At 42.8% G+C, this 26780-nt stretch overlaps 2 protein-coding genes and 1 long non-coding RNA gene across 18 annotated transcripts in view, besides 5 other annotated features; all 3 read right to left on the bottom strand.

The window, feature by feature from the left end:
- The window catches only part of CTDSPL2 (CTD small phosphatase like 2), a 101410-nt gene extending 95833 nt beyond the window's left edge, over window positions 1-5577 (bottom strand). For 9 of the 14 annotated variants that reach the window (XR_007064454.1, XR_007064456.1, XR_007064452.1 and 6 more), the window contains exon 1: window positions 5434-5577. The gene's annotated coding sequence lies outside the window, so the exon portion shown is untranslated. Of the gene's footprint in view, window positions 1-5312 lie in introns of all 14 variants that reach the window. The other 5 variants (XR_007064453.1, XM_006720565.3, XM_017022306.3 and 2 more) reach the window with 2 other exon arrangements.
- Window positions 4853-5459: an enhancer, noted in NCBI's record as "NANOG-H3K27ac-H3K4me1 hESC enhancer chr15:44719945-44720551 (GRCh37/hg19 assembly coordinates)". NCBI's record gives its function as "activates a minimal SCP1, AML or CMV promoter by ChIP-STARR-seq in primed H9 embryonic stem cells {active_cell/tissue: H9 hESC(primed)}" and the evidence as "EXISTENCE:reporter gene assay evidence [ECO:0000049][PMID:30033119]".
- Window positions 5460-6067: an enhancer, noted in NCBI's record as "NANOG-H3K27ac-H3K4me1 hESC enhancer chr15:44719337-44719944 (GRCh37/hg19 assembly coordinates)". NCBI's record gives its function as "activates a minimal SCP1, AML or CMV promoter by ChIP-STARR-seq in naive and primed H9 embryonic stem cells {active_cell/tissue: H9 hESC(naive and primed)}" and the evidence as "EXISTENCE:reporter gene assay evidence [ECO:0000049][PMID:30033119]".
- Window positions 5524-5903: an enhancer, noted in NCBI's record as "active region_9338". NCBI's record gives its function as "activates an Ori minimal core promoter by ATAC-STARR-seq in GM12878 lymphoblastoid cells {active_cell/tissue: GM12878}" and the evidence as "EXISTENCE:reporter gene assay evidence [ECO:0000049][PMID:35858748]".
- Window positions 6068-6675: an enhancer, noted in NCBI's record as "H3K27ac-H3K4me1 hESC enhancer chr15:44718729-44719336 (GRCh37/hg19 assembly coordinates)". NCBI's record gives its function as "activates a minimal SCP1, AML or CMV promoter by ChIP-STARR-seq in primed H9 embryonic stem cells {active_cell/tissue: H9 hESC(primed)}" and the evidence as "EXISTENCE:reporter gene assay evidence [ECO:0000049][PMID:30033119]".
- Window positions 6184-6413: an enhancer, noted in NCBI's record as "active region_9337". NCBI's record gives its function as "activates an Ori minimal core promoter by ATAC-STARR-seq in GM12878 lymphoblastoid cells {active_cell/tissue: GM12878}" and the evidence as "EXISTENCE:reporter gene assay evidence [ECO:0000049][PMID:35858748]".
- On the bottom strand, window positions 6889-10207 carry LOC124903479 (uncharacterized). Its single transcript, XR_007064605.1, has 3 exons — window positions 9667-10207; window positions 7233-7439; window positions 6889-6912 (listed from the first exon to the last, which is right to left on the bottom strand). It is a non-coding gene; the product is annotated as an uncharacterized LOC124903479 (long non-coding RNA).
- Window positions 10208-17447: 7240 nt separating this feature from the next.
- GOLM2 (golgi membrane protein 2) overlaps window positions 17448-26780 on the bottom strand; it is a 127040-nt gene continuing 117707 nt past the window's right edge. For all 3 annotated transcript variants that reach the window (NR_157849.2, NM_138423.4, NM_177974.3), the window contains one exon: window positions 17448-19870. Coding sequence is in view for 2 of the 3 variants with exons in the window: in NM_138423.4 (NP_612432.2) it covers window positions 19800-19870 (71 nt within the window). In the remaining variant the exon portion in view is untranslated. The remainder of the gene's footprint in view (window positions 19871-26780) is intronic.

Genomic DNA, 26780 nt, shown 5'->3' with positions numbered 1-26780 from the left:
GTGGCTGGGACTATAGATGTGAGTCACCATGCCCAGCTAATTTTTGTATTTTAGGTAGAGACAGGGTTTCGCCATGTTGCCCAGGCTGGTCTCGAACTCCTAAGCTCAGGGGATCCGCCTGCCTCAGCCTCCCAAGTGCTGGGATTACAATCATGAGCCACCAAGCCCAGCCTGTTGTGTTGTTTTAATCAAATCCACAAACACATTTCCATGCTAGAATCCCATGTTGATCATTCATGTTCAATATAGACTTTCTCTTTTTTCTTCAATCTAACACAGGAATCGGCCAGGTGCGGTGGCTCACACCTGTAATCCCAGCACTTTGGGAGACCGAGGCAGGTGGATCATCCTGAGGTCAGCAGTTCGAGACCAGCCTGGCCAACATGGTGAAACCCTATCTCTACTAAAAATATAAAAAATTAGCCAGGCGTGATAGCGGGCACCTGTAATGCCAGCTATTCGGGGGACTGAGACAGGAGAATCACTTGAATCTGGGAGGCAGAGGTTGCACTGAGCTGAGATGGCGCCACTGCACTGCAGCCTGGGAGACAGAGCGAGACTCTGTTTCAAAAAAATAATAATAATAGGCCGGGCACAGTGGCTCACGCCTCTAATCCCAGCACTTTGGGACGCCAAAGTGGGCGGATCACAAGGTCAGGAGTTCGAGAACAGCCTGGCCAACATGGTGAAACCCCATGTCTACTAAAAAAATACAAAAATTAGCCGAGCATGGTGGCGTGTGCCTATAATCCTAGCTACCTGGGAGGCTGAAGCGGGAGAATTGCTTGAACCCGGGAGGCGGAGGTTGCATTGAGCCAAGATTGCCCCACTGCACTCCAGCCTGGGCGACAGAGCAAGACTTCATCTCAAATAATAATAATAATAATAATAATAAAATAATAATATAGGAACATATGGATATCACAAAATACATAGTCCCTAGTACAGTCAACTGGCCTATTGTGACCTTCATTAAAATATTTGTCTTTAAGGTCTTACAATTCTTCTTGGGGCCACACTCAGTCTCACTATTCCTTACTGTCAGGATCCCAAAGGACTCCAAGCAGCCAAAGCTTCCCACCACAATTCTATCCCCACCATGCCTGTCATCTTTCCGAGACAATGCTCCTATATTCTACACCCCTTCTAATCACAGCCAGTGCATAAAAACTTAACTCTCCTGGCCAGGCGCGGTGGCTCACACCTGTAATCCCAGCACTTTGGGAGGCTGAGGCGGGTGGATCACTTCAGGTCAGGAGCTCGTGACCAGCCTGACCAACATGGTGAAACCTCATCTCTACTAAAGAAAAAAAATACAAAGTTAGCCGGCCGTCGTGGTGGGCGCCTGTAATCCCAGCTGCTTGGGAGGCTGAGGCAGGAGAATGGCTTGACCCAGGAGGCAGAGGTTCCAGTAAGCTGAGATCGCACCACTGCACTCCAGGCTGGGGAACAAGAGCGAAACTCTGTCTCAAAAAAAAAAAAAAAAAAACAAACAAACAAACAAACAAACAAAAAACTTAACTCTCCTATGTTTCCTTATCTCTGAACCCTCAACCTGTGTGTGGTACCAATAAGCTTATTTGATAGTCAATCTGTGCTAATATTGTCAACAAAAGACAATTTTTAAAGTTTCCTCTTTCAGAGAATTTGTGATTTTTAAACAGGACATTTAGAAAAACACTGGAGAGATATAAATAAAGTTAGGCATTGGCAATTCTCAAATTATACCACACAGTCAACTACCTAGTCTACCTATTTGTAATGCACGTCCAATTACAATTTAATATAGTTCAAATTAAAAAATTAATGTAGTCATACAAACACTAGTGAATATATGTCTGGCTTAGATATATGCCTCCTGGCAAATGCCAAGTAAGTGAAAACTAAAGCTGCAATTAAACGGTTTTAACATGGGTTCCATATCTGTCAAGGCTCCTCATCATGAGCCGGGTGCAGTGGCTCATGCCGGTAAGCCCAGCACTTTGGGAGGCTTAAGGAGGGAGAATCACTTGAGCCTAGGAGTTTGAGACCAGTCTGGGTGACACAGCGAGACCCCGTCTCCATTAAAAAAAAAAAAAAAAGTGGGCCAGATGCGGTGGCTCACATCTGTAATCCCAGCACTTTGGGAGGCCGAGGTGGGTGGATCAACTGAGGTCAGGAGTTCAAGACCAGCCTGGCCAACATAGAGAAACCCCATCTCTACTAAAAATGCAAAAATTAGCCAGGTGTGGTGGCGCGTGCCTGTAGTCCCAGCTACTCAGGAGGCTGAGGCAGGATAATTACTTGAACCCAGGAGGTGGAGTCTGCACTGAGCCAAGATCACACCATTCCACTCCAGCCTGGGCAATAAGAGCGAAACTCCGTCTCAAAAAAACAAAAAAAAAAGTAGCAAATGACCCCCTGTAGCCAATTTACTTAAAACAATCAGGTACTTTTTAGCTTACTTTTAACCAGAAAAATTACTTAGAGCACAACACAAATAAACTCTCAGCACACTTGATATTTGTGACTTAAAGTGTCTTTTCTACTTTATGCTTTCACAACCTGGTAAGTTACAATTAGATATTGCTTTTTCCAAATTCTGGCAAACCATTTTATTCATTATCTCATCAATCTAAAGCACAGTCTCCTATGACTAGGATAAATTAATACTATTTTGGACTCGGCTTGGTGGCAAATACCCGTCTTCCCAGCACTTTGGGAGGCTGAGGCAGGACGATTGCTTGTAGCCAGGAGTTGCAAAGCAGCCTGGGCAACATAGGGAGACCCCATCTCTACAAAAAACTAAAAAAATTAGCCAGGTGTGGTAGCATGTGCCTGCAGTCCCAGCTACTTGGGAGGCTGAAGCAGGAGGACTGCATAGGCCCAGGGGTTCACTACTGCACTCCAACCTGGGCCACAAAGAGAGACCCCCATCTCTAAAAAATAAAAATAAAAATAAATGCCATTTTACTCAACTGACAATAAAATCTATAGCTACAAATCCAGAATCTAGTACATCCTTGGTGAACAACAGGTCCAAGTTTCTTTAACCAGAATTAGATGGACTCTGTTATATAATAATCTCATGAAAAACCACTTAAGCAGAAATCACAAACTTGAGATCAGCTAGATGAATCTGAAAAGAAAAGACTTCCCCAATTCTTAATTTCTTAACAGTGGGAAAACAGTAACATTACCAGCTCAAGTTAAATGCACAAGAGACACTATGTAGAATGGAATCTTGTGAAACATACAAACCCTGACATTCCTATGCAATCCTATTTAGATTTTCTATATAGCTACAAGTCCACAAAGGTTAAGGACTACATCATTTATAGCTTTTACATTCTTTTTTTTTGAGACGGAGTCTCGCTCTGTCACCAGGCTGGAGTACAGTGGGGTGGTCTTCAGCTCACTGCAGCCTCCGCCTCCTGGGTTCAAGCGATTCTCCTGTCTCAGCCTCCCGAGTAGCTGGGACTACAGGTGTGCACCACCATGCCCGGCTAATTTTTGTATTTTTAGTAGAGATGGAGTTTCACTATGTTGGCCAGGCTGTTCTCGAACTCCTGATCTTGTGATCCGCCTGCCTTGGCCTCCCAAAGTGCTGGGATTACAGGCGTGAGCCACCCCACCCAGCCAGCTTATACGTTCTTTCAACTCTGAGAAAGCATTAAAAGAGTGCAAGTACTGAATGCACGTAGTACTAAACAATTTAGGAGAACTCTTGAAAACAAGGTCTACAATGCTCACTCAGCTAGCTGCAAACTAATTTTTATTAAAAACATTAACGCTATTAACTACCCAAAAAGGTCATTAAAATACAGACAAAACCTACACACTAGACCAATGATTTAAGATCCCTTTAAGTTGCATATTTGGCTCCATTTTTTAAATAAACTGACTCGGCAAGTAGTTAACGTGCCTGTACCTCCACTATTCTATTCGCCTTAGGAAAGTATGAAGCTCAACTTAATCCTAAAAAACTCCTTCACATAAGAGCTACCTTTTGCCTTGACTTTCTTTATGACCTTGGGCAAAGTCTACCAAATGAGGATTATAATAATGTTTGTGTGTTCCTGTTTATTATTGAAAATTAACCATAACATCGTGCAAACAATAGTGAAATTCTCTAAACTGGACCTATCCAGAACTGAAAACCTGAGTTATAAATATCAACTGATATTCAATGTGAACAGTTTTTAAAATTTTAATTTGATTAGTGAAAACAAAAAAACCTACAAAGATCCCAAATTCAACATGATTAATAAATTCCGAAAACACCAACAGCCTCCTTATTACTTCTCTTTATGAACAATTGGTCTGCAATGTAATTTAAAAAAAAGGAAAGAAAAAGTAAAGAAATATAGTAAAACTAGCTTTAACACGCCATTTCCCTTTTCTAAGAATAAAAAATGGACCAGGAACGAAAATTTAAAACTGGGCGAAGAATGGGGAGACAAAGCAATCTACAATTTGAAAATTACACAGATAAATCCATCATTTCAAGTCACTAATTTGTATACCCACTGAAGAAATTCATCTTGGTACTGCGTTACCAGCATTAGGAAGATAAATCCCTGCCTCGGAGGAACATCTACTGAGTACGTTTCATTTCAGGATCTCAGGTAAGTTTACGAGCTCTTAGATCTCTTTAGGTTTCCCTAAGGTACGCTGAAGTGTTTAACATCATTCACACATCCAGCCACCACTAGGGTGAGAAGTAAATAAACAAGATTTACTTATGCAATTATTTACCACAGAACTCTGGTCAAGAATGCAAAAGTAAACACCCATACAGACATTTAAAATCCAAAGAAAGCAGAGAATATTAAGGATAATAAGGTTCACTCTTTAACTGACCACTGTGGAAACCAGACGCCTTCCACATGGACTGTTCTTTACTACCACTCCCGATTTGAAAAAGTAACAATGTCAACTCGAGATTTTAACAGTACAAAAGATAAACAGAACTTAGTCAAATCCCTTCTTCCAGATTCTGAAAAGGTGTTTATAAGAACTGAGATAAGAGCAACGCCCCCCTAAAAGCACCCTACTCCAAAGAATGAAATGCTGAAAACATGAGGTGGGCCAAAAAGGTTAAAAAAAGCTAAACTTCTAACTTAATTACCCAGAGGTTGGGGACTAGGAACTTGAGATCGGAGTGGGGGTGGGTAGCAAAGTGAAATCTAACCCCAGAAATCACAACGCAGGCCGCAACCTAAGAGGTGAAGCTGGCGGGAAGTGAGCTCCCTTTCTGTTCCCAGGGGAAAGTCCAGACAGGAGCGGCTCCGCACAGTGGACGTACGAGGCGCCAAAGAGTGCATGCCTACCAAGGCGCCAGAGCCGCTGGAGGACCAGGTTTAGAAGGGGAGGAGATCCCGGCAGACGGCCCTGGAAGAGGAGGAGGACTGAGATTGGAAGCAGCGGCGGCGTCTGGACGAAGGGGATTACCTAACTGTGACGACAGAGAAGTGTCCTCAGGCTCCGGCGATGGTCCCGACTGCGCAATGTGTGGTGTCTTTCCCGCTTACCCCGCAGCAGCAACAGAACCAGCTCCTTCAGCCAGTCGCCATTTCCCGCCTACCGACCTGCTGCACCGCACGGACAGGGACCCGGATGGAAAGCGGCCTCTCCGCGCAGGCGCCCTGACTTCCTCCTCCCCCTCCCGCCACAATTCCGCGAGGTGGGAGGGAAGGAATGCGGGCAGCCACAACGGCAACAACAACCAAAAAAACACTTTTACTTCCGTGAAGAGCGTTGAAGTTCCTTACGCCGGAAGAAACTCTCTAGTCTGAATCCTGGAGAAAAACTGAACACAAGGCCTTAGTACTGGGTCGATTAAGAAAGGACAAAACCTATCAGGATGAGCAAGGGCCTGGGGGATATTTGTACATTAGGGGCCTCCGTAGCCGGCTGTGTAGTGGTCGCAGGGGGAGTAGGGAGTAAAGCGTTAGGAGTGGAGAGGCGGGGACCCGAAGGACGGTTTTTCCTCCCGCTCCTAACGGAACTGCTTGGGCAGAGCTGGGAGGGGGAGCGCGCCCTTGCCCCGGAGGCGGGGCTTAGGAACGCGTAGTGCACCCTGGCGGCTAGGGTTTAGTAACTGTGGGCGCGCTGGGTAGGTGGAGCTGAGGGGATAAGGCGGGACTAACGGCTTGGCGCGCTGGAGGAGGTAGTTCGTAGGGAGAGCTGCCTGAGGCCGGGAGAAAGCGAATCTGGCGCCTTTCCTGGGATTTCGGTGGCCCTTGAAGGTTCCCTTTCCAGCTCATTGCCTAGAGGGCGTAGCAGTCGCTTTTGGATCATAAATATTCATGCCCTTCGACTCAACCCTATGTTGGCGGTGATTCTGCAGGTTGAAAACTCGGATCTTTCAGGCCAGTGGGCTCCCACCTGCGACCCTAGGTCAAAGGACGGTCAGCTCCACAGAGTGAAAATGTATCAGTCCAGAGAATCCAGTTCTAGTGGGGTATCGGAAAACCAAGCCTAGTGTTTGGAAGAACATTTTTCACTGAAACTCCAAGCCACTCTCCTTATTCAATCAAGAAATATTTATTGAAAAAATAACTAGGTGCGACGGGTAAAACAGTGAGCCAGGCAGACACGGATACTGCCTTCCCCAAAGGTAATGATTTTTTTTTTTTTTCGAGACGGAGTCTTCACTCTGTCGCCCAGGATGGAGTGCAGTGGCGCGATCTCGGCTCAAACCTCCACCTCCCGGGTTCAAGCGATTCTTCTGCCTCAGCCCCCCGAGAAGCTGGGATTACAGGCGCGCGCCACCACGACCGGCTAATTTTTGTATTTTTAGTAGAGACGGGGTTTCACCACGTTGGTCAGGCTGGTCTCGTACTCCTGACCTCGTGATCCGCCCGCTTCGGCCTCCCAAAGTGCTGGTATTACAGGCGTGAGCCACCGCGCCCGGCCAAAGATCATAATCTATTGAAGAAGACACCCAAGTAAACAGAATTTAAAAACTGATAAAGCGAATACAAGGATGGCATGATAGGCGTTGTAAAACACATGAGAGTGCCGGCGAGGGGGTCTGGGAAGGTTTCGTAAGATAACATCTGAGACAAAAAGGAGGAGTGTGTGTTGCAGGGGAAGAGTGTCTGGGTAAAGGAAACAACAGACGGAAAAGTCCAAAGATGAGACTGTGTTGAGCCATTGGAGAAGTAGTTCTGTGCGCTAAGAAAAGAGGATGGGAGGGCAGGGGGAAGATGGCAAGAGAGGCTGAGAAGTAAGCAGAAATAACATACCGTTGTGAATCTCATTATTTCGAAGTATGGAGCAGGTGGGTTGTCTTCTGAAAACCTTGTATACTACAGATTCTTCTGTCAGAGTTCATTTGCACCCTAAATCTTCCTAGTGCAAAAATGCTCTGAATGCGACATTTATTGGGAGCTGGTGGTATACACAGCACAGAACTATTAATAGTAACAGTCCACACACACAAAAATAGATTCCTGAAAAGTTCAATGGAATCCAACAAATAATTAGTTTATCCAGAGTGTATCATGGAAAGCAGTAAAATACCAACTAAACAGTTACCCCATTATTACTAAAGTTTATTTTATTTATTTATTTATTTTTAGAGACAGGGTCTCACTCCATTCCCCAGGCTGAAGTAATTAAAGCTCATTGCAACCTCAAAATCCATGGTTCAAGCCATCTTCCTGCCTTGGCCTCCCAAAGTGCTGGGATTACGGGCCTGAGCTACTGCACACAGCCCCTAAAGTTTTGTTTTGCTTTTTGTTTAGAGACAAGGACTTCCTCTGTACCCCTGGCTTGAGTGCAGTGGCATGATCATAACTCACTGCATCCTTAAACACCTGGGCTCAAGTGATCCTCCCACCTCAGCCTCCCAGTACCGAGGACTGGCTAATAAAGTTATTTTTAAATCAGGTAAAAATTAGAAATATTTCTGGGGGAAAAAATTTCCAAGAAATCGTTATTTCAAACCTTCACGTTCCTAAAACTTAAGTAAAATACGCTATTTCCAAAGAGCACTTTTATATGCATTTTGATTCTCTAACAACCCTATGAGGTAGGTAAAATAGGTGGTATTTGTTCCCTGCCTTTCAGTTGAAGACACTGAAATTTGAAAAAAGAAGAAAAACATGCCATATCCAAAGACAGTCACAATCATCTAGTAAGAAATATAATAGAGACTCAAGCCCCTATTCTGCTCATTATACCACCTCTTATGGCAATATTATTACCATTGTTACATTTGGTAAGTTTAGGGCCAGGCCATAATCACAGCACTTTGGTAGGGTGAGGTGGGAGGATCATTGTATCTCAGGTTCAAGACCAGCCTTGGCAACATAGTGAGACCTTATCTCTATTAAAAAAAAAATAAGTTTAGAAAGGTTGCTGATAGTAAGCCTAAGTCCATTTGCAATTTTTAACATTTTAACACCATTTTTTCACAAGGGATAATTGTTATGTTCTGCTTTTTACCTTAATTTATATCCCATGGTCTCTCTCCTAGCCTCCTTTTCTGCAATATCTAAGTGAATTGTTGTGAAGATCAAATTAGATTATTTACGAAAGCACTTAGCAAGATGCTTTCCTTGCTCCTTAAATGGTAGTAGTTAATTACTACTTAAAGTAGTAATTAACTACTTAGTAGGTAGTAGTTAACTACTACCTTAAATGGTAGTAGTTAATGTCTTGAAGCTTCCGTAACAATCTAGTCCAAAATTTTAGAATAAAATAATGGTCTAAAAATATGAACTTAAAAAAGTATGAAGTATTTTTAAATGTAAAGCAGTGGCCACAGGAAAAAAGTGTAATTAATGCAAAAAGCTAGTAGCAGGTATTTTTGCTTTCTGTTTTTTTTTTTTTTTTTTTTTTAAGAGGTGGAGTCTTGCTATATTGCCCAGGCGGCCCAGGCTGGACTCAAACTCTTGGGCTCAAGTGATCCTCTCACCTCAGCCTCCTGAGTAGCTGGAACTACAGGCACATGCCACCATACCCAGCTTGAATGCTTTTTAAACTATTCAAAACTACTGCTATATGAAGACACTAATGAAGTAGAGTGTTCATTAAGTAATGTAATAGGGTCAGGCGCGGTGGCTCACGCCTGTAATCCCAACACTTTGGGAGGCCAAGGTGGGCAGATCACATGAGGTCAGGAGTTGAGACCAGCCTGGCCAACATGGCGAAACCCCATATGTACTAAAAATACAAAAATTAGCTGGTTATGGTGGCACGTGCCTGTAATCTCAGCTACTCAGGAGTCTGAGTCAGGAGAATTGCTTGAACCCGGGAGGTAGATGTTGCAGCGGGCCAAGATAATGCTACTGCACTCCAGCCTGGGGGACAGAATGAGATTCCATCTCAAAAAAAAAAAAAAAAAAAAATGTAGGCTGGGCACGGTGGCTCACGCCTGTAATCCCAGCACTTTGGGAGGCAGAGGTGGGTGGATCACGAAGTCAGGAGTTCGAGAACAGCCTGGCCAACATGGTGAAACCTCGTCTCTACTAAGGATGCAAAAAATTAGCTGGGTGTGGTGGCACGCGCCTGTAATCCCAGCTACTTGGGAGGCTGAGGCAGGAGAATCCCTTGAACTTGGGAGGCGGAGGTTGCAGTGAGCCGAGATCAGGCCATTGCACTCCAGCCTGGGAAACCGGGCAAGACTCTGTCTCAGAAAAAAAAAAAAAAAAAAAAGTAATGTAATACAAATACCTCAAATCCTCAGCAGTCTTTCAGTAGGTCCTTATTCCAGAGTATATGGAATATATTTACCTTTTACCTGAAATATAAGGCATTTGTTCTTCACAGTTCATTCTTATGTTAATTCTATGATGTATATGTTTTTGTCACTTATTGCAACTCAGTAAGGCAGTAATATATTAAATATTGAAATACCAGAACTGTTATTTTGCTCCACTGTTGCAATTACTTGATGGCAATGGTCATCTGAAACTTAATGTGGTCAAAACTAAATTTTTAATTTTCTCTCAAACCTGCACCTCCTTAAGTATTCTCTGCCTTACTGAATGCAGTTTTTCTTTCTCATACCCAATGTCCAATTTTAAAGTACAATAAACTTTCAAAATCAATTCTGAATCGAAACCCTTCTCATCACCTCAACTGCTTCTCTAGTTCAATAACCATCATCTTTAACTTGGAATGCTATAACAGCCTTTAAAGTCTTTCTGTTTCACTCTTGAACCCCTTCAATCTTTTCAACACAGCAGCCAGTTTTTTGTTTTGTTTTTTTTTTGAGACAGAGTCTTGCTCTATTGCCCAGGCTGGAGTGCAGTGGCACAATCTCGGCTCATTGCAACCTCCACCTCCTGGGTTCAAGTGATTCACCTGCCTCAGCCTCCCAGGTAGCTGGGATTACAGGCGTGCACTACCACCCCTGGCTAATTTTTGTTTTTGTTTTTATTTTTAAATACAGAGTCTTGCTCTTGTCGCCCAGGCTGGAATGGCTCAATCTTGGCTCACTGCAACCTCTGCCTCATGGCCGGGCGCAGTGGCTCATGCCTGTAATCCCAGCACTTTGGGAGGCCGAGGCAGGCAGTTCGTGAGGTCATGAGATCGAGACCAGCCTGGCCAACATGATGAAACCCCAAAAATACAAAAATGAGCTGGGCATGGTGGCGGGCGCCTGTAATCCCAGCTACTGGGGAGGCTGAGGCAAGAGAATCACTTGAAATCAGAAGGTGGAGGTTGCAGTGAGCCGAGATCGCTCCACGACACTCCAGCCTGGGTGGAAGAGCGAAACTCCATCTCAAAAAAAAAAAAATCTCATTAATAGTATTCTGTATTTAATACATGTTGCGTATATTGGTTAAGTAAAATATCAAAATCTCACCCTTTTTTTAAAAAATGTGGGCCGGGCACCGTGGCTCACGCCTGTAATCCCAGCACTTTGGGAGGCCGAGGTGGGTGGATCACAAGGTCAGGAGATCGAGACCATCCTGGCTAACATGGTGAAACCCCATCTCTACTAAAAAATGCAAAAAATTAGCCGGGCATGGTGGCGGGCGCCTGTAGTCCCAGCTACTTGGGAGGCTGAGGCAGGAGAATGGCGTGAACTCGGGAGGCAGAGCTTGCAGTGAGCCGAGATCGTGCCACTGCCCTCCAGCCTGGGCGACAGAGCGGGACTCTGTCTCAAAAAAAAAAAAAAATGTGGCTACTAGAAAATTTAAAAATATATAGGTGGTTTCAATATTTCAATTGAATAGTGCTATACAGGATATTTACATTGCATGTTTTACCACCACCTCTTCAGAAAGGCCTTCCCTGATCGTCCTATCTAAAATAGCACCCCTCCATCACTATTCATTTTATTTTTTGTTTGTTTTTGATTTTTGAGGCTGAGTCTTGCTCTGTTGCCCAGGCTGGAGTGCACTGGTGTGATCTCAGCTCACTGCAACCTCTGCCTCCAGGGTTCAAGTGATTCTCCTGCCTCAGCCTCCTGAGTAGCTGGGACTACAGGCACATGCCACCATGCCCTGCTATTTTTGTATTTTTAGCAGAGATGGGGTTTCACCATGTTGGCCAGGCTGGTCTCGCACTTCTGACCTCAGGTGATTTGCCTGACTCGGCCTCCCAAAGTGCTGGCATTACAGGCATGAGCCACCGGGCTGGCCTATTATTTATTTATTTATTTATTTTTGAGACAGAGTCTCACTCTGTCGCCGAGGCTGGAGTGCAATGGCGCGATCTGGGCTCACTGCAACCTCTGCCTCCCAGGTTCAAGCTATTCTCCTGCCTCAGCGAGTAGCTGAGATTATAGGCGCATGCCACCACGCTCGGCTAATTTTTTTGTATTTTTAGTAGAGATGGGGTTTCACCATGTTGGTCAGGCTGGTCTCGTACTCCTGACCTCATGATCCGCCCAACTCGGCCTCCCAAAGTGCTGGGATTACAGGCCTGAGCCACCGGGCCTGGCCTACCGGCCTATTACTCACTTTATTCTGGCTTCTTTTTCTCAGCATTTATCACTACTGGTCATATAATAAGCATATAAAATAATTTTGTCTCTCCCTCTAATATGTAGTTCCATGAAAGCGGGGATTTTGTCACGGCTGTATCCCCAGTACTCTGAACAGTTCTGTACACGTATTAGGTATTCAATACATAGTTGCAGAATGGTCATTGTTCTGCCATGATAAAATCCCGTGTTAGAGAGTTGGATGGATAGTGTCTTAAGGGCTGTACGTTAATTTTGACGAATAAATCAAAAATTCAAATTTCTGAGTCTCTCAACATGTCAACCCTGTGTTTCCAAATACTTGGACATGTTACTTTGTATGTCTTCAAGTTCATTTTTCTGCCATCTCCAATCTGCTATTAAACCCATCTGATGAATTTTTCATTTCAGTTATTGTTCTTTGCAGTTCTAGAATCTCATTAGGATTTTTATAATTTCCGTGTCTGTGCTGAGATTCCCTATCTGTTCTTTCATTAACATATTTTCATTTAATTCTTTAAACATATTTATAATAGCTCCATTAACAAATACAATAAAGGCTGGGTGCAGTGATTCATGCCTGTAGTCCTAGCACTTTGGGAAGCCGAGACGGGTGGATTGCCTGAGCTCAGGAATTCAAGACCAGCCTGGGCAACGTGGTGAAACCCTGTCTCCACTAAAATACACAAAAATTAGCTGGGTGTGGTGTTGCGTGCCTGTAGTCCTTCCCAGCTACTCAGGAGGATGAGGCACGAGAATTGCTTAAACCTGGGAGGTGGAGGTTGCAGTGAGCCAAGGTCGTGCCACTGCACTCCCTCCTGGGCGACAGAGCAAGACTGTCTCCAGGCCGGGTGCGATGGCTCACACCTGTAATCCCAGCACTTTGGGAGGCCGAGGCGGGCAGATCATGAGGTCAGGAGATCGAGACCATCCTGGCTAACACGGTGAAACCCCATCTCTACTAAAAATACAAAAAATTAGCCGGGCGTAGTGGTGGGCGCCTGTAGTTCCAGCTACTCGGGAGGCTGAGGCAGGAGAATGGTGTGAACCCGGGAGGCAGAGCTTGCAGTGAGCAGAGATCGAGCCACTGCACTCCAGCCTGGGTGACAGAGTGAGACTCCATCTCAAAAAAAAAAAAAAAGAAAAAAGAAAAGACTGTCTCCAAAACAAAACAAATAACAAAGTCCACCCCAATTTTAAAAAACTATGGACCACATTTTCTCGTCTCTTTGTAGGTCTAGTCATTTTTTCGGGAACACTGGACATTATGAATAATAATGTTTTAGAGACTCTAGATTCTGTTATCTTCCCTGAAAAGTGATGATTCTTGTTTTAGCAGGCACTTCAGTTACTGAGTGGTCACCTAAACTTGTTGATGCTTGGTTTTATTTATACTTTGTTAGTTCACATCTATGGAAAGCCTAAGGAGACTTGCAAGCCCTACGTTGGCAGGACACAAGCTCCATACTCTGTTTCCCCTGCTAATCTTGTCAAGGCTTGACTTTAGGCTTTGATAAGGCAGATCTAGAGTAGGTCTTACTGTAGGGGATGGAGTTTACTCCTAATGTGCAGCCTTTCTAATGTTTCAGCTGTTGCTGCAATTTTTTTTTTTTTTTTGAGACAGAGTTTCCCTCTGTTGCCCAGGCTGAAGTACAGGGCATGATCTTGGCTCACTGCAACCTCTGCCTCCTGGGTTCAAGCGATTCTCGTGCCTCAGCCTCCCGAGTAGCTGGAATTACAGGCATGTGCCACCACACCCAGCTAATTTTTGTGTTTTTTTTAGTAGAGATGGGGTTTCGCCATGTTGGCCAGGCTGGTCTCAAACTCCCGACCTCAGGTGATCCACCTGCCTTGGCCTCCCAGTGTTGGGATTACAGGCATGAGCCACCCGCTCAGCCTGTTGCTGCAATTGTTAAAGATGTTCACCTTGGCAGGCCCAGAAATCCAATGTCCCTTAGCACTGCTTTTGTGCCAAAACTTCTTGGCCTCTGGTATCTCTATTCTGTTCTCAGCCCTGTAGCAACCGCTATCTGTAAGCATTAGATGGTCTTTTTTCTGAGCATGTATAGCCCAGTCCTTGGCCATGGACTTGTGGGGACCTCTATATGGATTTCTGGGGCTGCCTCTGTGAACAGCTCCCTATTCTCTGGTGTCCCACCCAACAGATTCCAAATGTCTCAGCTGCTCCCTATGATCTCTGCCTTCTCAGTTCAGCAGACCCACTGTCCTCTGCTCTTACTCCCAGCCTCTTTACACCACAAAAAGTGGAATGATTGTGGGGCTCACTGCCTAAGTTTCCCTTCTCTCAGGGATAGTAGTCTTGTGCTGGATGGAAATAGTTGCCTAATACATCTTGTCGAGTTTTATAGGTGCTACTAATCCAAGAGGGCTAGTCAAGTTACTCCAACATAGCCAGAAGCAGAAGTCTCCCTTTCCTTACCTCAGACTTTTTTCTTTAGTCAGAGTCTCACTCTGTCACCCAGGTTGGAATAGAGTAGTATGGTCATGGCTCACTGCAGCCTTGACCTCCTGGGCTCAAGTGTCCTCCCACCTCAGCATCCCAGACAGCTGGAACTATAGGCATACACCACTACAGGCATATACCTGGCTAATTTTTGTATTTTTTGTAGAGACAAGAGTTTCACCATGATGCCCAAGTTGGTCTTGAACTCCTGGGCTTAAGGAATCTGTCCACCTTGGCCTCTCAAAGTGCTGGGATTACAGGCACGAGCCACTGTGCCTGGCCTCCCTCAGATTTTTGAAGTGAAACTAAGGGAAGAGGAGAAGCCCCTCCCAGGTAGCAAAACTAAGAAAATATGATCTGTTAGAAGCCACAGTTAGAACTTTGAGGAGGGAGCTAGTTTGAGACAAGGTAGTAAGTAGAGGGAAGTAGAAATGGGAGTTGGTGAAACAAAGTCCTGGCAGCATTCCAGTCCTTGTTTCAGTTGTCTTTAAGTCCAGGGGATTCCTATTCTTTATGCACTTTTCTTACATGAACCATTACATTTCCCCCCTTTTTCTGGGTTAGTTGGTTGAATTTTCACTTGGAACTCTTAGTGAAGAGAGTTTTAAAAGAAACTGGGTAGGGTGCGGTGGCTCATGCCTGTAATCCCAGCGCTTTGGGAGGCCGAGGTGGATCACGAGGTCAAGAGATTGAGACCATCCTGGCCAACATGGTGAAACCCCGTCTCTACTAAAAATACAAAAATTAGCTGGGCGTGGTGGCACATGCCTGTAGTCCCAGCTACTCGGGAGGCTGAGGCATGAGAATCGCTTGAACCCGGGAGGCAGAGGTTGCAGTGAGCCGAGATCGCACCACTGCACTCCAGCCTGGTGACAGAGCTAGACTCCGTTTCAAAACAAAACAAAACAAAACAAAACAAAAAAATTAGAACTGAATGTCGATGGCCCACATGTGATGTGAAAACTCTATAACCTAGACTGAAAATGTATTAATGACACACTGTCCCATTGAAACCATATGCCGCACATGAGAGAATAGGTGTTTCTAAGGTCAGCCCCATTATGGAAAGTGACTACCTTCCTGATACAGTTTGGCTCTGTGTCCCCACCCAAATCTCATCTCGAATTGTAATCCTCCTGTGTAGAGGCAGGGACCTGGTGAGAGGTGACTGGTTAATGGCGAGGGTTTCCCCCATGCTGTTCTCGTGATAGTGAGTGAGTTCTCACAAGATCCAATGGTTTTAAAAATGGCAGTTTCCTGTGTGCACACTTTCTCTCCTGCCACCATGTAAAATGTGCCTTGCTTCCCTTTTGCCTTCTGCCATGACTGTAAGTTTCCTGAGGCCTCCCCAGCCATGCGGAACTGTGAGTCATTAAACCTCTTTCCTGTATAAATTACCGAGTCTCAGGTAGTACCTTTATAGCAGTGTGAAAACAGTCTAATACACTTCCTCGTAAGTATGTTGTTGCTTTTTTTCTGAGACGGAGTCTAGCTCTGTCGCCCAGGCTGGAGTGCAGTGGCTCGATCTTGGCTCACTGCAACCTCCGCCTCCTGGGTTCAAGCGATTCTCCTGCCTCAGCCTCCCAAGTAGCTGGGATTACAGGCGCACGCCACCAAGCCCGGCTAATTTTTGTGTTTTTTTAATAGAGACAGGGTTTCACCATGTTGGCCAGGCTGGTCTCGAACTCCTGACCTTGTGATCCGCCTGCCTCAGCCTCCCAAAGTGCTGGGATTACAGGCGTGAGCCACCACACCTGTCTTGTTGTTGCTTTTTTTAAAAACAAATTCTCTGTCCTCATATTCAAGCAAATTTTGTTGTTACATGATTACAGGAATGAGAAGCCCAAAAGACACAATCTTAAGATTTCTTCAAACTGTGTCATATTTTAGAAATGATTTTGAAGTCATATTCACTTTTCTTCTAAAATCATCTTTCCATGTATATTTGCTTCATTTTATTTATGGGTCAGTAGCAATACCTAAACTTACAAGGCTCTCCCTATCTTGACCCCTCCATACTTCTTCAGCCTCATTTCTCTCTCCCTTGCATATTCCATTCCAGCCAAATAACTGTAATGTTTTAGTTCAGTAAAATCTAATTGTTTGGACCCTTAGAACATTCATTCATTCATTGATTTATTTGAGACAGAGTCTTGCTCTGTCACCCAGGCTGGAGTGCAGTGGTGATCTTGGCTTACTGTGACCTTCGCCTCCCGGGTTCAAGCGATTCTCCTGCCTCAGCCTCCTGAGTAGCTGGGATTACAGGCGCACGCCACCACCTCCAGCTAATTTTTGTCTTTTTAGTAGAGACACGGTTTCACCATGTTGGTCAGGCTGGTCTCGAACTCTTGACCTGGTGATCTGCCCGCCTCAGCCTCCCAAAGTGCTGGGATTATAGGAGTGAGCCACTGCGCCCAGCCAGGACTTTTATTTTTAATAGCTCTTTAACACTATTTAAAGTTGTCTTGTTCATTTGTTTACTTGTGTATTGTCTGACTGCCCCCACTTGAATGTACGCTCCATGCGAACAGAGACCTTGTCTATCTTATCCACTTATCTTAATACCTAGAACAATGCTGGGCACATAATAGGCATTCAATATTTGTTGAATAAACTAGACCTACAGTAAAGAGCCCTGGTGTAAAAATATTTGGTTTTCAGGACGGGTATGGTAGCTCATGCCTGTAATCCCAGCACTTTGGGAGGTCAAGGCAGGTGGATCACCTGAGGTCAGGAGTTTGAGACCAGCCTGGCCAACATGGTGAAACCCTGTCTCTACCAAAAATACAAAAATTAGCCAGGTGTGGTGGCACGTGCCTGTAATCCCAGCTACTTGGGAGGCTGAGGCAGGAGAATTGCTTGAATCCGGGAGACAGAAGTTGCAGTGAGCTGAGATGCGCCACTGCACTCCAGCCTGGGCAACAGAGTGAGACTCCGTTTCAAAAAAAAAAATTTGGTTTTTTAGTTTAGCTTAACTTAAAATGAGTGCTAAACTTACTCAGATTTTAGTGTTAAAATGTATTTACATCATGGGTGTGATGTTTGTGTATGTATTAGAATCAGCAAAACAGTGAAACAAGTTTAATTTTTAATTTATTAGAACCCAGTAAATGATGATTTTAAAAGCAGAGTTTCCATCAAATTAACACTTAATTCAGGGCAAAAATACATTTAAAAAACCTAAATCTTAAGGCAGAAGTAAAACATTATAAAAACAGTATGTCTAATACAGACTGTAAAATGTCAGATTTTTAAGAGATTCACATAGTATTTTATAGCACTAAAATATTAATACAGTCAGAAATATTATCAATTGGTCCAAGATTTCTGTTTATAAAATGTCTAGACTGCTAATTGAAGAAATGTTGCTGTATAAGTAATAGCTACAATACAACCAACCAAGTGATTGTTTTTATGACAAAAGAACTAAGGCAGGTAATTGCATGGTTTCCATTTGTAAAGCTTTTGCAGTATTAAAATATAAAGCATTACTAGGGGTATTTTTTGATTCATCTCCCTACCCTAATGCCCCCGAAATGTACATCACTTCCCTTTAACTCTATTTTAAAATTCTGTGAAACCACCATACCTATTCATTGTAGGCCTGACCCTATAAAGGCATGAATTGTTTAATTTGATATGGTAGAAAAACAATTTTAGTAAACTACTACATCTTTTCCTAGTCATTGAGCAATTTCAAACAGAAGTCTTAAGAATTTTTGCACCTCAGCAAGTGAACAACCTGTTTCTTTACCACTATAAGTTTGAATTTTGCCTAGAATGTGTTAGTACACAGGGGAAAACACATTTCATGTTTATGTGCAATTAACAGTAGCCCTTCTGAAAAACAGGGTTAACAATCTTAAATTTCCCCTTGTGATCAAAACCTTTTGTTTTTAGGGGGCAGGATAAGATTTAAAAGTGCTTTAAATCAGAAAACAAGAATTAGCTAGCTTACACATTCCACTGAATAGTGTCAAAAAAGATAAATGCATTTAAAATAATTTGTAAGTCTAGCAAATATAAGCTTGACGGGTTCTTAACTAACATATTAAGTAATTACAAAGATTCATTTTTTTACAAACTTTTAAGCTATTTTAATAAAATGGCTATAGACCTCACTGTACTTCTATTTATCTGTGCATTAATAAAAACCTGTTAAAATTCCTTATTTAGTACTTCTGAAAAAGTCTAATCAAATAAGATCACTAAAATTACCAGAAAAGCTTTGAAATACTGATTGCAGATTCATTTCAAAGTAGATTTAACCCCTTTCAGGATCTGGTGTTTAAATCATGAATGTCTTCACCAACTTCAACTCTGAAAATATAAAAATTTTAGCCAGTTCTGGCTATAGTTAAACAGTACTGGTATTACTTGAAAAAATAAAAATTAAAAATATATTGTCAATCATGCATTCCACAATTTCAAGAACTAAGATATAACTCATAAATACTGTTATGTCTTTGCAGGTTATCTCAATTTCCATCAGGCCTCAGCTGAAAGCTCATCTGCCAAAACACATCAGCACTCATGTAAAATAAAAGGAGTAGGGAGGTGACTTTCTACACAATACTGTACAGTGTTTGGCTTCCAGTTTCCCTCTTGTGTGTAACTATTCTAGGTATGACTCCTTGAGCGTGAAATGAGGGGTAGATAGAACAGAACAGCTGTTGGGCTAACAAGAATTAGTGTGTAGACTGGGCGCAGTGGCTCATGCCTGGAATTCCAGCACTTTGGGAGGCCAATGCAGGAGGATCACCTGAGGTCAGGAGTTCAAGACCAGCCTGGCCAACATGGTGAAACCCGTCTTTATTAAATATACAATTATTAGCTCTCTATTAAAAATACAAAAATTAGCTGGGCATGGTGGTGGGTGCCTGTAATCCCAGCTACTTGGGAGGCTGAGGCAGGAAAATTGCCTGAACCCAGGAGGCGGAGGTTGCAGTGAGCCAAGATTGTGCCATTGCACTCCAGCCTGGGAAACAAGACTAAAACTCTGTCTCAAAAAAAAAAAAAAAAAGAATTAGAGTATAAAAAGTTTTCTGCTGAATATCTGTTCTGTTCTTACTGTGGTTATGCTATGCCACATATAACCTGTACAACTATTTTGTCCTGTTTATCTATTTGTGGAAATAAGTCGGCTCAATAAAATGTGAAATATACATTAGTTTGCTTTAGATGCAAAGATTAGCTGTTTTTGGCTTAACTGTATCATAACCAAAAAAGTCTATACCTTGATAATACAATATGAAAAAGTTCACATATGTACATGGGTACATTCCTTCATTAAAGTTTTTCCTTAATTCTATCTCAATGTATCTTTACAACTGATACAATTCGTCTTTACAACAAAAGTCAGAAAGGACAAAGTAGAATGATTTCATTTTACAGCACTTTAGGTTTTCTGAAGCATTCCTTTAGGACTTAAAGGACATCATTGAAATGTTGCTTTCCATAGTCTGCAGGATCCATTTGAAGCTCTCGTTCTTCATCATCTGTAAGTAAAATAATTTTGTATCAACATATTATTTTTTAAATCACTGCAGAAATCCAATTAATGTCTCAGTTTTTCATAGCCTTAAGGTAGTTTCCTGCTTGTTATTTTACACCTAGTACAAATAGTGTTCTATTTCTTAGTTGCTTGGCTAAAGAGTGAAAAGTATGTGGAACTATTTTGCAAGATTAATTTTAACAAATCTTTAGAAAATAGACATAGATGACAGACAAACAGAAATAGAGCCAGATAGACATAACTAGTAAAACTTTAGGAACGCACAAATATTGAGGAGTTAATATTTTTATATAAATGTAGTCTTTTTTTTTTTTTTGAGACCGACTCTCACTCCGTTGCCTAGGCTGGAGTGCAGTGGTGCGATCTTGGCTCACTGCAACCTCTGTCTCCCAGGATCAAGCGATTCTCCTACCTCAGCCTCCCAAGTAGCTGGCACTACAGGCACCTGTCACCATGCCTGGCTAATTTCTGTATTTTTAGTAGAGACGGGGTTTTACCATGTTGGCCAGGCTGGTCTCAAACTCTTCACCTCAGGTGATCTGCCCACCTCGGCCTCCTAAAGTGCTGGGATTACAGGCGTGAGCCACAGTGCCCAGCCTAAATATATTATTTCTATATAGATGATATTTAGTCCTTTAAATTAAAGCTTTGGTAGAAACATTTCTGTACACATTTTCAGGCTTTTAAACATCAATTTTTTTTTCTAAATTATAAAAGTATCCAATATTAGTATTTTTAAAATTATAAAAGACAGAAAAATAAAAGTCACTCATAATCCCAACATTTAACATTTTAGTGAATTTCTTTACGTCTCTGCAAAAGTAGCTTCCTCTTGGCTTCCTAAATGGGGTATAACAACCAAAGTTTAACCTTTTCTTAACTAAACAGAAAAAAAAGATTACTGTTACTAAAATCCTCAAAGCCTCTTTGAGTGGCTGTATTAAATTACTCCAAATAGTGCTATGGAGTTTGATTTATTTGGCTATTACAGATTTTTCTGGCTCTTTCTTGGCTATGAGTTGTGATCACTTTGCCTTCTTGTCAATTTACCTGCCAATAGCAATCCTTCTTTTCTAATTTTGCTGCAAATTACAGGTTTTGAAATGAGACTGCTGAAGAGGTTTTTTTGTTTGTTTGTTTGTTTGTTTTTCTGAGACAGAATCTTGCTCTGTTGGCCAGGCTCAAGTGTAGTGGTATTATCATGGCTCACTTGCAGTCTCAACCTCCCGGCCTCAAGTAATCCTCCCACCTCAACCTCCCAGGTAGCTGGGACCACAGGTGCACGCCACCACACCAGGCTACATTTTGTATTTTTTGTAAAGACAGGGTTTTGCCATTTGCCCAGGCTAGTCTGGAACTCCTGGGCTCAAGTGATCCACCGGCCTCAGCCAAGAGTATTAAAATTATATTAGAACAAGAATGAAAAGTATTTTGATGAGAGCCTTGGAGAGTCCCTTTGGAGTACATGGATTTTTTTTTTTTTTTTTTTTGAGATGCAGTCTCATTCTGTCGCCCAGGCTGGAGTGCAGTTGCATGATCTCAGCTCAATGCAACCTCTGTCTCCTGGGTTCAAGGGAATCTCCTGCCTCAGCCTCCTGAGTGGCTGGGACTAAAGGCGCTTGCCACCGCACCCAGCTAATTTTTGTATTTTTAGTTTCACCATGTTGGCCAGGCCGGTCTCAAACTCCTGGCCTTGTGATCTACCTGCCTCAGCCACCCAAAGTACTGGGATTACAGGCATAAGCCACCGCGCCTGGCGTAGAGTACATGGATTTTTATGATATCTTTTGGCTTCTCTGCAGACTTAAAAAATCACTTTTCTTACATTCTGGGTCACATACTATTACCCAATAGCTTAATTTTTGTTAATATAATTTAAAGAAAGTCATACATTGGAATCTAAATTCATATGTATACTATAGTTTTCTAAAAACTATTACTTTAGGTATGAGAGGTTTTAACACTCTAAAACTTTCTTCTTTCAAAAATGCAAAACAGGCCAGGCATGGTTGTCCAAGCTTGCAATCCCAGCACTTTGGGAGGCAGAGGCAGGCAGATCACTTGAGCTCAGGAGTTTGAGACCAGCCTGGGCAACATGCTGAAACCCAGTCTCTACTAAAAATACAAAATTTAGCCAGGCATGGTTGTGTGTACCTGTAGTCCCAGCTACTCAGGAGGCTGAGGTAGGAGGATTGCTTGAGCCTGGGAGGTGGAGGTTGCAGTAAGCAGAGATCACACCACTGCACTCCAGCCTGGGTAACAGAGTTAAACCCTATCTCAAAAAAAAAAAAAAAAAAAAAAAAAAGTCAAACAAACCAACTTTCTTTTTCAACAACTTTCCTGTTAAACTTACAGAAATTTTCATTTCTAGAATTTCAGGTAACCATTTTGCACCTTTTTTTTTTTTTTTTTTTTGATACAGGGTCTCAGTCCCATCACTCAGGTTGGAGTACAGTGGCACAATCTCGGCTCACTGCAGCCTCAACTTCCCAGGGCTCAAGGGATCCTCCCACTTCAACTTTCTGAGTAGCTAGGACTACAGGCACACACCACATGCCCAGCTAATTTTTCCTTTTTTTTTTTTTTGTAGAGACAGGGTTTCACCATGTTGCCCAGGCTGGCCTTTAACTCCTGGGTTCAAGCGATCTGCCCACCTTAGCCTCCCGAAGTGCTGGAATTACAGCTGTGACCACTGCACCCAGCCTACCCCATATTCTTAACAAATGATCTATCTTTAAATAGTATAATCCACTAGGTATGATAATCCCAAATCTGTCTTAATATGTGTTAAAGCCTGAAATTATATCCATTTCACACTTTTACTTTATATACATGCTAATCAATTATCAATGAACTCTTTACTTAAAAAAAATTATGTATATATTTTTGAGACGGAGTCTCACTGGGTCGCCCAGGCTGGAGCGCAGTGGCGCGATCTCAGCTCACTGCAAGCTCCGCCTCCCAGGTTCGCGCCATTCTCCTGCCTCAGCCTCCCGAGTACAGGCGCCCGCCACCACGCCCAGCTAATTTTTTTGTATTTTTTTAGTAGAGACGGGGTTTCACCGTGTTAGCCAGGATGGTCTCGAACTTCTGACCTCGTAATCCGCCCGCCTCGGCCTCCCAAAGTGCTGGGATTACAGGCATGAGACACCGCGCCCAGCCTATCTTTGTTTTTAAAAGGGAAAATAATCACGGGTACCTCTCCAGAAAGCTCTCCTTAGGATCCACATTATAGAACCTCACCTTATGGCTATAAACACATCTTTTAGGACTTTAATATAATGATTAAATTAAGATAAGACTTAATCATCATGTAGCAGTGGATAATTTTCTAGAAATTTAATAGGAAAGTTATTGAAAGGAAAAGGTGTCTTTACTTTTTGGGATTTTTTTTTTTTTTTTTTAGACGAAGTCTTGCTCTGTTGCCCAGGCTGGAGTGCAGTGGCACGAATTCGGCTCATTGCAACCTCCGCCTCCCGGGTTCAAGCGATTCTCCTGCCTCAGCCTCTTGAGTAGCTGGGATTACAGGCGTGCGCCACCATGCCCGGATAATTTTTGTATTTTTTTTTTTTTTAGTAGAGACGGGGTTTTACCATGTTGGTTAGGCTGGTCTCGAACTCCTGACCTCGTGATACACCTGGCTCGGCCTCCCAAAGTGCTGGTATTACAGGCGTGAGGCACAGCGCCCAGCATTTTTTTTTTTTTTTTTTTTTTTTTTTTTTTTTTGAGAGAGAGGGTCTTGCTGTTGTAGCCGAGCCTGTTAGTGCAATGGCGAGATCTCGGCTCACTGCAACCTCCGCCTCCCAGGTTCCAGCAATTCTCCTGCCGCAGCCTCCCGAGTTGCTGAGATTACAGGGGCCCGCCATCACGCCCAGCTAATTTTTTTGTATTTTTAGTAGAAACAGGTTTTCCCCATGTTGGCCAGACTGGTCTCGAACTCCTGACCTCAGGCGATCCACCCGCCTCGGCCTCCCAAAGTGCTAGATTACAGGCATGACCCACCGCGCCCAGCCACTTTTTGGGCTTTTTTTTTTTGAGACGGAGTCTTGCTCTGTCGCTCAAGCTGGAGTGCAGTGGCGCGATCTTGGCTCACTGCAAGCTCTGCCTCCCGGGTTCACGCCATTCTCCTGCCTCAGCCTCCCGAGTAGCTGGGACTACGGGTGCCCGCCATCACGCCCGGCTAATTTTTTGTATTTTTAGTAGAGAGTAGAGATGGGGTTTCACCTTGTTAGCCAAGATGGTCTCGATCTCCTGACCTCGTGATCCAGCTGCCTCAGCCTCCCAAAGTGCTGGGATTACAGGCATGAGCCACCGTGCCCGTCCTTTTTGGGATTTGTTTGTTTGCTTGTTTGTTTTGAGACGTAGTCTCGCTCTGTTGCCCAGGCTGGAGTGCAGTAGGCGATCTCGGCTCACTGCAAGCTCCGCCTCCTAGGTTCACACCATTCTCCTGCCTCAGGCTCCCCAGTAGCTGGGACTACAGGCTCCCGCCGCCACTCCGGGCTGAATTTTTTTTGTATTTTTAGTAGAGACGGGGTTTCACCATCTTAGCCAGGAGGGTGTGATCTGCCCTCCTTGGCCTCCCAAAATGCTGGGATTACAGGAGTGAACCACCGCGCCTGGCCCTTTTTGGAATTTTTAAGTGAACAAATAAAAAGCGAAATCAGGATAAGAGCAAATGTCTAGGAACAGAAAAACAAATGTACTCCCAGCTCACGTACTTAACAAACATGATCTAGTTCCTAAAATTATTTGGACCTGTAATTATCTTCTCAGGAAAATAGAGATAACAACTGTGTTTCCTACCTCAAAATAATATACATGAAGGCAGTCATTACTTGCAATGTCCTCAATAAATATGAAGTATTTTTTTGTTAATTTATACCTGTTAGCAAAGTTTTAATATGGTATCTTCACATTGTTTTCAGAATTTCATAGGACTTTTAAATTAACTGGAGTTCATATTCAGTGTAGCTATTCTACCCAGAATTCAAGTTTCTACCAACAACCTCTTTGCATTTATCTGTAAAGCAGTAGTACATGATTATGAAATCACCTAACCAAATCTAATGTAGAATAACAGATAACCACTAAATATAATTATAAGAACTAATATTTTAGTTCCTTTTAGGAAGCAGCAAAATTTTAAATAGTTCATCAAGGTAAAATGAATATTAAAGGAATATTTTAAAGATATCCATAGTTTATTAAATAATTCCTAAATTCCCTCTGAAGTCAAGAAAGGCCACCTCCATTAAAGAAAGCGCTACCATGGCTGGGTGTGGTTGCTCACGCCGTAATCCCAGCACTTTGGGAGGCTGAGGCGGGCAGATCATGAGGTCAGGAGTTCAAGACCAGCCTGGCCAACATGGTGAAACCCTGTCTCTTGTAAAAATACAAAAATCAGCTGGACGTGATGGTGGACGCCTGTAATCCCAGCTACTCAGGAAGCTGAGGCAAGAGAATTGCTTGAACCTGGGAGGGGGAGGTTGCAGTGAGCTGAGATTACGCCATTGTACTCCAGCCTGGGCGACAAAAAAAAAAAAAAAAGATAAAAGAAAGAAAGCTCTATCGCCTGGGTGCAGTGGCTCACGCCTGTGATCCCAACACTTTGGGAGGCTGAGGGAAGTGGATAGCTTGAGCTCAGGAGTTTGAAACCAGCCTGGGCAATATAGCAAGACCCCATCTTAGAAAATAAAAAAAATTTAAAAAAAAAGCAAGAATTCGGGGCAAAAAGCCAGTGAGGAGCCAGGTGCAGCGGCTCATGCCTATAATCCGAACACTTTGGGAGACCGAGGTGGCCTGATTGCTTGAGTCCAGGAGTTTAAGACCAGCCTGGGAAACATGGGAAACATGGCTAAATCCTGCCACTACAAAAAATACAAAAAACTAGCCAGCCGTGGTGGTGCATGCCTGTAGTCCCAGATACTCAGGAGGCTGAGGTGGGAGGATCACTTGACCCCAGGAGGTCGAGGCTGCAGTAAGCCATGATCATGCCACTGCACTCCAGCCTGGGTGACAGAGGGACACCCTGTCTCCAAAAAATATATATATATAAATATATAATATAAATATATCATAAATTATAATATAAATATATTAAATATATAATATAAATATAAATATATATAATAGAAATATGTTATAAATATATAATAGAAATATATTATAAATATATAACCATTTATATATCTATATAAATATATTATAAATATGCAAACATTTTTATTAAAATAGAATATATTTTATATATTGTTTATATATAATTTATATATATACTTACATATATAAATAATTGTAAACACAGGAAAAATAGGCCTCAATTCTACAAAACACTCTACAAGTAGTGCTGACCCCAATGATTAATATGAAATGAACAGGTATCAGATAAAAGGCTGGAATGCTTCAGCTCCCTACTGGCAGATATGCTGCCAAAGCCTCAATTCATAATACACAATTTTGGAGACCAAAGCCAAAGTATATTTAGGTGAAGCCAGAATCTTATCCTGCAGCTGGAATCTCTAATCCTAGGGACCTCACAACTTAAGAAACTACTCCTACTACTAGAGAGCAGAGAAGAGCCCCTATTGATTGAGCATTAAGTGTGTGCTTCATTTTTTGTTATCTTTCACTGTAGAGTCACAATAGTGGCAATAAAGTTTCTACTTTCTTTCATGGATTTGGGAATAGATCTGTTTCAGACATCCTGAAATCTGAAACATATTTTCTCATAATACTTGTGTTATATATAATGATTCCAACTTGAATGTGGCCACAGAATTTTAAAACTGAGAAAGATCATTTATTCTAATTCAGCAGTCTTCATACAGATGAAGAAATTGTGGCCCAGAGAGTTTAAGTGACTTGAAAAGCAATACACAGACTATCTCTTGATT

Source organism: Homo sapiens, chromosome 15 (genome assembly GCF_000001405.40).
Source record: "Homo sapiens chromosome 15, GRCh38.p14 Primary Assembly".
In the NCBI taxonomy this organism is placed as follows: Eukaryota; Metazoa; Chordata; class Mammalia; order Primates; family Hominidae; genus Homo; species Homo sapiens.
Note: the sequence above shows the minus strand (reverse complement) of the source record. Positions and strands in the feature narration are given on the sequence as shown.